The 10830-nt window shown below is 37.5% G+C and overlaps 1 annotated feature.

Moving 5' to 3' along the window:
- Nucleotides 10274–10775: an enhancer, noted in NCBI's record as "H3K27ac hESC enhancer chr4:44853871-44854372 (GRCh37/hg19 assembly coordinates)". NCBI's record gives its function as "activates a minimal SCP1, AML or CMV promoter by ChIP-STARR-seq in naive H9 embryonic stem cells {active_cell/tissue: H9 hESC(naive)}" and the evidence as "EXISTENCE:reporter gene assay evidence [ECO:0000049][PMID:30033119]".

Below are 10830 nucleotides of genomic sequence, written 5' to 3' on the forward strand. Positions count from 1 at the left end.
GTAGTCAATTGCCTGTCGGGCACCGCCTATGTGTGGTGATGAATGTAAGCATGTGGCTATGGGTTTGGAAATGAAGCTAGCTGGAGCAGACACAGAGTCCTATTACCATGAAAAAAGGCTAAGGTTTGAGATAAGTAATTCACTCAATTTTTTTTGAAAGTTTTATTTTAACCTCCAAATTATTTCTCATGATTTACATCACGTTACTGCAGTTGCTCATCTTGGTATTTATTTTTCAGCATAAGGAGGTCCCCAAATCTCTAGTACTATTTAGTTGTTTGATCATGTTTGTGAGTTGTGGTTAGATTGGTCAATGTAGGTACCTGGTGTATGGATTTTTAAAAATTAAATGTAAATAGTTTCAGAAATAGAAATAGGGAGAAACCATATCAATCGGTACAGCATCTCTGAAATATAATAGCCATGTTTAGAAAATAGCTAAATATAAAGATGCTGTACTGTGTTTGAATAATAACACTATTGCCACCGTCATTATGATTGCCCAAAATTTCCTTCTGTTAGGATTTATCAATATACAGTGAATGCAAAGGTTTATGTTTAGATTAGATAGTGTCCCTGCCATAGGAAGATTTACAGCCTAGTGGATCTAATAATCTTTCAGCAACTTTGGAAAATATATTAACTTGTCAAGCCTGGCATCAATTTAGCACCAAGAGCAAATATTAAATAATGAAGATGGTTTATTACAAAAATCCCATAAGTAACCATTTTAACTTCTTTTACAAAGATTTTCAGACATACTTAGGATAGAAAAGTAGCAAAGTAAATGTGAATAGCTTTATGGCAGTTCTTTCCTCTTTGCCACAAGAGATGTGTTCCATTTATAGTTTATTAAGTGCTGGCTTTGAAATACTGTGTTGCCACATTTTATTTGTTCCTTCATATACTAAGGGATGAAATAACAATATGAGAGCAGTAAATACTGCAACAGAAGATATTGATGGAAAAATAGTATAATAGAAAAATATAATTCACTTTTTCTATTTATATGTCAGTATTGAAAAACAAATCAAATAGAAGGGGGGTTCTGTGAGATGTGACAAATTTTTTAAAGTGTGCCAATTACATTTTTTTCTTTTACTTCCTGTTTTTAAAGACCGCATTTTCTTTGGGTTGCTTGGATACATTCCATGGCATGACACTTCCAGAAGTTAGTACTAAAACACAAATCAAAATGACAACTTTAGACACTGGAACCAGTCCTGTAGAGGTCACAAAAGGTGATTCTCCAACGTCATTTTTTTCTCATTTCATTTAATATGCGGGTAGATTCCAAGATGATGCTCTCTCATAGCTTTTCTTCAGCGCTTTCCAGAATGATTCTGAGGCACACATCATTATCAAAAGAAAAAAGATTTCAATTGTTTCTGACATAGGATTTAGCTACCTATGTATCTTATATTGTAACTTCTTCCATCTTTCTCAATTTTTATGTTGATCTCTTTAACTTTTGCATTTCTAATCTCACTTAAACTGAAAGAACATACTTTGTGCAATTTACCCTAATTATTTCGTTTTCATTAGATGATGATAGGTACATATAACTGATTGTGATAAATAAGCTATTTTGTTATTGCAAAATTCTGCACTTTCCTTAAATAGTTGTAAGATCAAATCATCTATGCCTAGCTGCCTTTGCTTAGCTGGCCCACAATAACTGGAGGCAGAGATGATTCTATGACCCTCAAGGTGTATATGATGACAATATTTATTTTTCTTTACCTTTGTTCATGGTTCTAAACTATAGACTGACTCAATAATAAACCATAAATACTGGAATGTCTTATTGCATGTATACTTCAAGAAAATGACTGTCAGGATTACTATCACAAGGACTCATGACCTTGTCTGATACTGAAGAGACAGTCTCATTCTAGGAGGACAGAACTATTCCTTTTCCAGAGTCCAGTCCAATTAAGTCTCTGAGACACCTTGACTTTTTCCTCACTATGTTGTCCAGAATGGCTTCAAACTCCTTCCACCTCAGCCTCCCAAATAGGTGGGACTACAGGCACTTTCTGCCACGTCTAGGGACATTGTGACTTTTGTAGAGAACTCCCAAATAGACAACGGAGATTTCTTTCTAGAGATATACACCTGTAAGTGGAAGAAGATGAGACATTTCTATTCCCTAGTTGGCTAGTCATTTACTGAAAGTATTATAGTCCATTTAAAACATTTTTTCCATCAATTATGCATTAAATGCCCAACATGAAGATTCATTTCATCTCTTTTTCCAGTGCTCTCTCTTCCTGTCTCTCTCTGTTTTTGAGAAGTTGAGTTGAACTTTTTATAAAAGCAATAACTTCTTTGGGGCTCTCCTTAGTACTAAAAATCAGTACTCCTTTATCATAACCTTTGAATGCTCAAATGTTCAGCCCCATATTTTGCCTAGCTGTACTTTATCATTGTCACCAGAATATAGTGTCTCCATATTTGATCCCAATTTATGCTTAGAGTTGCTCTATAATGTTAATTTAAATAACAATGTTCTAATAAGCCATATTACTCTAGGTCAGCTGACTGAATTCTATTAAAATATTTATTGTTTTCATGACTGACAATGACATGTCTGCTTATACATGTGTTATTGCAGGTACATTCTTAGTGTGCTCAACCCTTGTCAGAGCTTACTATTTGAGCAATAAATCAAAGATTATGCATAGAGTAATCCTTATAAGAATTTTCATTAATTAATCCTATTAAGGGAAAAATGATGCTCAGGGGCAGTCAGTGTATCATATTACTATATTTCATTAGTTGCTCATATATTAACATATCTGAAATTAATTTTTCATGTTACAATCAATGACATCTTAGATTTGACAATAATGGTATCATCTACCAGCCCTCTTAATGTCCTCAAGCATTCTACACCTAACATGCAAAGATTGAATTGTGCCAGATATTTTAAACATCTACTTTCATCCACTTGCAAGAGGAATGAATTATATAGAGCCTTCTTTTCTAAAAAGAAGTGTTCCATCTTTTTGGGAATACTATAGATATTGGGTAAATTCCAAGAATTCTAACTGATACGTTAGACATTAGAGCCTGGGTTATGAAAATGTCTATTTTCGGCCAGGCGCGATGGCTCATGCCTGTAATCCCAGTACTTTGGGTGGCCGAGGCGGGCGGATCACGAGGTCAGGAGATCAAGACCATACTGGCTAACACGGTGAAACCCCGTCTCTACTAAAAATACAAAAAAAAAAAAAAATTAGCCGGGCGTGGTGGTGGGCGCCTGTAGTCCCAGCTACTCGGGAGGCTGAGGCAGGAGAATGGCGTGTATACCCGTGAGGCGGAGCTTGCAGTGAGTCAAGATCATGCCACTGCACTCCAGCCTGGGTGACAGAGCAAGACTCTGTTTCAAAAAAAAAAAAACAAAAAAATAAAACAAAAAAAAAGAAAATGTCTATTTTCATATTTGTATTTTTGTATTTCAAGACCCAACCAGGTAGGAGTAATTAGAATAGAATTGCCCTAAACCCCCACAAAATAACAACTGGTAGAGCATTGCTGTGCACTGACAGATGTTTGGGAAAAGTGAAAACAACTCCTATTCAAATGGAAAAGTTTTGAAGTAGACTGTTCTGAATAATAAAAGAGGAGACAATGACCAAAAATGTCTAATTTTTTTTACCAGTATAAAAACTGAATAACGGAGATTTAGCCATTTTGATAAGCTCACATACAAACCCATTTTATATTGAAAACCACTTGAACAATATCAATTCTAATAAAAAGGCCATTAAAAGGATGCTATTCAAGCCTGCTGGCTTTTTTTAGTGGGCCACCTTACAGTCCACTGTTGGTTGCATGATTACTGAGAGCCAAGTGAGCACAGGCTCTTTGTGTTCTGCCAGTATTTTGAAGTGGATAAGCTAAATCTGCCTCTCAGTACACAGAATTCTGCAGAGTTAGCATCAACAATGTCTGTGGCTGATGACATTACCCAGTAAATCATGCTCCGTGCATCATTCAAGACAGAACCATCTTTAGAAAGAGAGATTTATCTTGGCCTTGACAGTCTTGATAAATCAAATCTAGGTTTCAAAGCCAAGAGTAGATTTAATGAAACCATTCTAAGCTAAGAGTTGGTTGATAGAAATTATACGGTAGAATTAAACTTGTTTTAAAATGTCATAGGTATGTTTAAAAGCCCCACTTGTTTGGACTTTAAAAATATTTCAATTAATTTATGTATCCAAATTAGAAGGAGACTAACACTAAAAATTTAAACAGCCCATATCCAACAGACTCGGAGATTAGATGTCCTTATTTATCATTTAAGACCTAACCAGATAAATGATTCTAGACTTGAAAGTAAAAAATAACAAGAAGCCTCTCCCACTGAAATCTAATTCCTGCTAAAAACAACTGTAACCAATACATGGAAGGGACTATGGTGAACACGGAAATGCTCTCCCATATCTCCCTTCAAGATAATACTTGTTCCAGCTGTCAGCAGATAGCCTCAAACTCTTAGCTTCTGCAGTGTTTCCCTAAGCCTAGGAGGACTACCTCACTGTAGCGACGGCCTTCCCGGTACAGTCTACCTCAAATGACTAAGCATGGTGGTGGATAAAGGCCCAACCAGTTTGTTCCACTGAGGAATGGGCCATATGCACCAGAGCTCTGCATGGGGTTAAGTGGTGCTGTGCTGGGACTGCATCACTGGTCAACTCCTCACTCTGTCCAATACTGATTCCTTCCCTTGTCAAATTCTCTAATGGTTAGTCTGCATGCCAAGCACTTTCTCATTGTTTGCTTCTGGAAAACCAACCTGCAACAGGGAGCATATGAAATCATCTCTGCCAGGAAAATGTCAAGACACAACTCCTCTCTGAATATATTACAACAAACAGGTCAGCCTGAAGAAGCCTTTGATGGGGCCAAAAAAGAACCATCCATGATATCTACTGCTGGACCCATAACCAAATTTCTCACTACCTTGCCAGAAAGAGTTGTAGGTTATTTCCTTTTTTTCCAGACACTTACTTATAAAATGAGAATTGTTGAGAAATTTTCTGGATTTGAAAAATCTGGTTAAAAAATAATTTACCTCTAAGACAGAGAGCTCCAAAGGAGGGAAATGTACATGTAAGCTGTTGCAGAATGACCCCTGAGCTGGCTTATTTCAACAGCTTACTTTGATACTCTCTAATCTACCTGGTTATTGCCACTGAATTAAGCAATCTTAAAATCACACACCAGAAAGGTAAAGAGGGTTATTTGTTTTTTTAAAAGTGGAAAAATAAGAGTGCTATTAATCCATCCCTTACTCTTGCACTCTTGGCTTAAAGGAAGGTAACTCTTGCTATAGGAATGTATTAGCCCATTTGTGTGCTGCTATAAAATAATTTATAATGAACAGAAATTTATTGGCTCACAGTTCTGCAGGCTGAGAAGTCCAATATCAATGTGTTGACGTCTGGTGGGGGTCTTGTTGTTGCTTTATCACATGGCAGAAAGTGAGAGGAAAAGAGATAACAAGACAGGGGCAAATTCACTCCTTTATAATGACACTAATTCTACCTATGAGAGTCAAGCCCTCATGGCCTGATTGCCTCTGAAAGATTCTACCTTTTAATACTATTACAATGGCAATTAAATTTCAACATGAGTTTTGGAAGGGACAAACATTCAAATCATAGAAGGAAGTGTTCTTTTTCAGGATGCATGTGTCTGGTAACGAATGTGATGTGACTTGGTTACATAGAATCTCTGTGTGCTGTTCTTTGTTCTCATTCTTATGGGGAAAATCAGGAGGACTGAAGGTGGGTGTCAAGATATTATCCAAATGTACCTCATAACAACCTATTCTCTGATGGGGGTTCTTTCAGCTAATATCATAGCATTTCCCCATTCCTTTACCATTCTCAGTCTCCAGCACCTGTCTATTAGATACAAAAGTTCTTGTAAATAGCTCTTTTCCTCCAAGGCTTATTATCAGAAATGGAAATGGAAACTTATAGCTTCAATTACTTTTAAGCTTGATCGGAGGAGTGAAGACCTAATTTATTCAATGCCTTCAATTTTCTTAGTTGTACGAAATAACAGATATTAGGAATACAACACATTCATCATGCCAGATGCATTTTAAGGGAAAAATGTAATTATCACTGAACTCAGATTATGTCAATATAATTTCTCTATTGTCACTGAAGTAAAAAAAATGAAAAAACACAATGCAATTACCATATGTGCTTTACCATTTCTCCTAAACCTGAAGATTTAACTATATAATCACAAAAGAGAATTTCACTAAATAGCCAGTGAAGTAGCTCTTCCCACTACCTAACATATTCAGCCTCACATCTAACCACCTATTCTTTCTAAAGAACAGGGAATAGACCAGTGAGGTGAACAACCACGAAATTCTATGGAGGAAAGTGATTTCAATTTTCATGGGATCAAATGACCTATACTTGAACTTCAGAGCAAGACTCTCAGAGAACAAAATCCTTTTGGTCAGTTATTGTTTTCCTTACTCTTTTTGCTATAACTCTTTGTTTTACAATGTTGCCTGAGAATCAACTGATTTTTATCATTGCTTTGCTCATTGTTAGTCTTTGATCATCTATTTACAGGGAGAGGGTGACAGTTAATTGCCCTGCCTCCTTTTGTCTCACTTTTTTACTCAGTCACTTTGTACTCCTGCCATGATATGAGACAGAGTATATTATTGTAGCATTTTGCCTGATGATTAAAAATCTACTCTATAGAATAAGAAAGTTTGGTTAGATGTCTGATCATGGAAAAGAAACCTAATGTCTCTCAGGGTTTGGTCAGAAAATAGAATACTCTAGGTATTTTGAGAAGACAGGGTCTTAATACAAGGAAGAAATTTTGAAGAAATTGGAAAACCTAGAGGTGAAGATCAGGGAAGGCAGGGGAAGGCCACCACTAATTCTCAATTTCTCTGTTAGTTTTCTGTGAATCAGGAAGTTATTCCACTCATCTGGCTCAGGAAATTTAGAAAACAATTTACAATAAGCACATCTGTGTTCAATGCCTAGCAGATGATTCATGGGAGAACACCTGAAGGCTTTAGCAAAACTGCCCATCTGCTAAAGCCCTCAAGTCTGAACAAATAGAAAGATAATGACCTCTGGCTTTCCAACAAGTGCCTCTTATTGGTGAGATCTAAATAGGCATCACACTAAAAAGGTTTCTAGGAAATGTAGCTCCCAGGATTCTTAGTTCCCAAAGCCATTGTTTTCCTCTTCAGAAATGAAATGACTCAATTGTATTTCTTGCCTGTGTTACCTAAGAAAAACAAAACAATTTTACCTCATGTTACTCACATGATGGCCAAATCTACCTTCATTTTAAATAAAAATGCAGTGATCACTAATGAAATTTCTCTAAAAACTATAAATATAGGGAATATCTTTGTTCAAAGACATGCTGAGGATCAACAGCATGTTGGGATGAGAAGGAATAGTTCTCTTTAGTTTCTCAGAGAAGTTCCTTAAAGATCTATTCTAATTCCTTGAAGATACAGATTTTATCAGGTTTTCATGCCTTTTTTTGGAACAAGTTAAATTTAATGTCACTCAGTACTCTTTAACTCTCTTTTTTCTTCAATCTTTTCTGATTTATCAGTTATTTTAGAATATGAATATGAGCTGGGGTTACAAGTGATGTCACATTCTGACTAATTCATCTAGGCTCCATCTGCCTCTTCTTCCTCACTCTTTTTACCACTTTTTATTTTTCACTACCAATTCTCACATAAATGATCAGCTATGCCTCATGCTCTAGGATGTTCTAAACCACAAGTAGGTGATATTTAAGCATTCAAAGCTCAGTCTTTAGTGGCTTAATATTCAGTTGTCTTCTCTGTTAGGCCATCTATAATATTGCTTACATTTTTAGTAAATGAGCTTCAGGATGGTTTTCTGTGCATGACATTGTTTGGGTTTCATTCTGAGCATGTGGGGAGGCAGGGGGAAGGCTATCCTGACCATTCTTCTGATCTCTTCTGGCCTCCAGGCCAATGACTTTGGCCATACCCACATCTTAATATGAAAAGTCACCAGTCTGCTTGAGTGTGTGATTTTTACCAGCTGTATTCAACCACTGGGGTAACAAAAAAGAGCAAGCATGTGATTACTTTGATGCATGTTTAGAGGAATTGCTGAATGGCCATAACCAGAATGGCAAACAGGTGAGATGATTAAGGATGTTGGTGACATAGAGATTAAAATAATGAATTATTAAATGGAATTGGATTTGGAAAAAAAAAACAGCTAATAAGATTTATAGACTTGGAAAAAATGGATGCACCAGTCAGTTTCCAGTAGAAAATAGATAGTATTCTTAAAAGAGGTAAAGGTTAAGAATTTATATACTAATATTTGGGCAATCAGTAAAGCATTATTGAGAATTCACAAAGCATGGTAAAGCTTCCCAGGATTATCAACAGTGGGAGGTTGTTACCTCGCATAAACCTAAAAATTAAGGGAAGGGAAGGAAGTTGGGGTTGGGAGTAGAAGAGAGCAAGTGAGAGAGCAAAAGAGAGGAGAAAGAGAGAGCGAGAGAGAGGAATGAACAAGAGCATTTTGCACTTTAAGAGAAGTCTACTGACAGGAGAATAAATTTCTTAAACTCACTCTCTCTTACCCACTGATATCATGTCCATGACTCATTGGCTGAACTCACCCAAACACCAAACATCAGAGTTGCAAGGGGGCACAGAATAGGTGGCAGAGGAGCAGAGTGTAGATTTGTGTAGAGTACAGAAAATATCTGGTACAAAGTAGAAATCCATTGGTATCATTTTTTTTCTTTTTCTTTTTTTACTGTAAGGAAGTATGAAAGTTATGGTACATTTTTAAAAAAATGAAGATAGAGATAAACTATTTTAAGCATTTATTAGGTAAGCAGTTTTGAAGAGTGAAAAGTTCTAGTATTCAATCAAGTGAGTTGGTTGATAAAGTGGAGGAGTGAAGGTCATTGGGCTTGGTCCTGAAGGTAGAATGGACTGTTGTAGTTTGCTTGGGATTGAGGGTTTTCTAGGGATGCAGCACTTCCTGTATGAAAATCAGGAGAGTCTTGGGCAAACCATGACAGTAGGTCAACTTTCTTGAAGGATAAGTGGATATTTATAGGAATTCCATGCAGGAGAAAAGCATTACCCAAGATATAGCCAGAGATATAGATAATGCAGGTTTGTGTTTTCAGAAGCGAAATTTTAATTTATATGAATAAGATAAACTGAATAGATCATTAAGAAACATCTAGAGTTTTAAAATACTAAAAAGTTTAATTGGGATTTTGAGAAACAGGATGCTTAAGTGCTGTTTTCATGTATTTCATGTTATTAATCCCTTTTCAGTTGAATCATTTGCAAATATTTTCTCCCATTCTATAGGTTGTCTCTTCCCCTTCACTGATTGTTTCCTTTGCTGTGCAGAGCTATTTAGCCTGATGTGATACTAATGTGGTTTGGCTGTGTACCCACCCAAATCTCATCTTGAATTGTAACTCCCACAATTCCCATGTGTCATGGGAAAAACCCAGTGGGAGGTGATTGAATCATGGGGGAGGGTCTTTCCTGTGCTTTTCTTGTGATAGTGAATGAGTCTCATGAGATCTGATGGTTTTAAAAATGGGAGTTCCCTGCACAAGCTGTCTCTTTGATGCTACCATCCATCTAAGACGTGACTTGCTCCTTCTTGCCTTTCACCTTCTGCCATGATTGTGAGGCCTCTCCAGCCATGAGCAACTGTAATTCCAATGAGCCTCTTTCTTTAGTAAATTGCCCAGTCTCGGGTATGTCTTTATCAGCAGCGTGAATACGGACTAATACAGTAAATTGGTAACAATACAGTGGGAGGTTGCTGAAAAGATACCCGAAAATGTGGAAGTTTCTTTGAAACTGGGTAACACACAGACGTTGGAACAGTTTGGAGGGCTCTGAGGAAGACAGGAAAATGTGGGAAAGTGTGTAACTTCCTAGAGACTTGTTGAATGGCTTTGACCAAAATGCTGATAGTGATGTCAACAATAAGGTTGAGGCTCAGGTGGTCTCAGATGGAGAGGAGGAACTTGTTGGGAACTGGAGCAAAGCTGACTCTTGTTACGATTTAGCAAAGAGACTGGTGGTGTTTTGCCCCTGCCTTAGAGATTTGTGGACCTTTGAACTTGAGGGAGATGATTTAGAGTATCTGGCAGAAGAAATGTCTATGCAGCAAAGCATTCAAGAGGTGACCTGGGTACTGTTAAAGGCATTGAGTTTTATAAGGGAACAGAGCATAAAAGTTCAGAAACTTTGCAGCCTGACAATGTGACAGAAAATAAAACCCCATTTTCTGAGGAGAAATTCAAGCTGGCTGCAGAAATTTGCATAAGTAACAAAGAGCTGAATGTTAATTCCCAAGACAATGGGGAAAATTTCTCCAGGGCATGTCAGAGATCTTCACAGCAGTCCCTCCCATCACAGGCCCAGAGGCACAGGAGGAAATCATGGTTTCATGGGTCTGGCCCAGGGTCCCTGGGCTGTGTGCAGCCTAGGGACTTGGTGCCCTGTATCTCAGACACTCCAGCTGGGGCTGAAAGGGGCCAATGTAGAGGTTGGGCTGTGGCTTCAGAGAGTGCAAGCCCCAAGCCTTGGCAGCTTCCATGTTGTGTTGTGCCTGCAAGTGCACAGAAGTCAAGAATTGGGGTTTGTTAACCTTCATCTAGACTTCAGAAGATGTATGGAAGTGCCTGGATGCCCAGGCTGAAGTTTGCTGCAGGGGTGGGTGCTCATGGAGAACCTCTGCTAGGGTAGTGCAGAACGGAAATGTGGAGTCAGAG

Source organism: Homo sapiens, chromosome 4 (assembly GCF_000001405.40).
Source record: "Homo sapiens chromosome 4, GRCh38.p14 Primary Assembly".
In the NCBI taxonomy this organism is placed as follows: domain Eukaryota; kingdom Metazoa; phylum Chordata; class Mammalia; order Primates; family Hominidae; genus Homo; species Homo sapiens.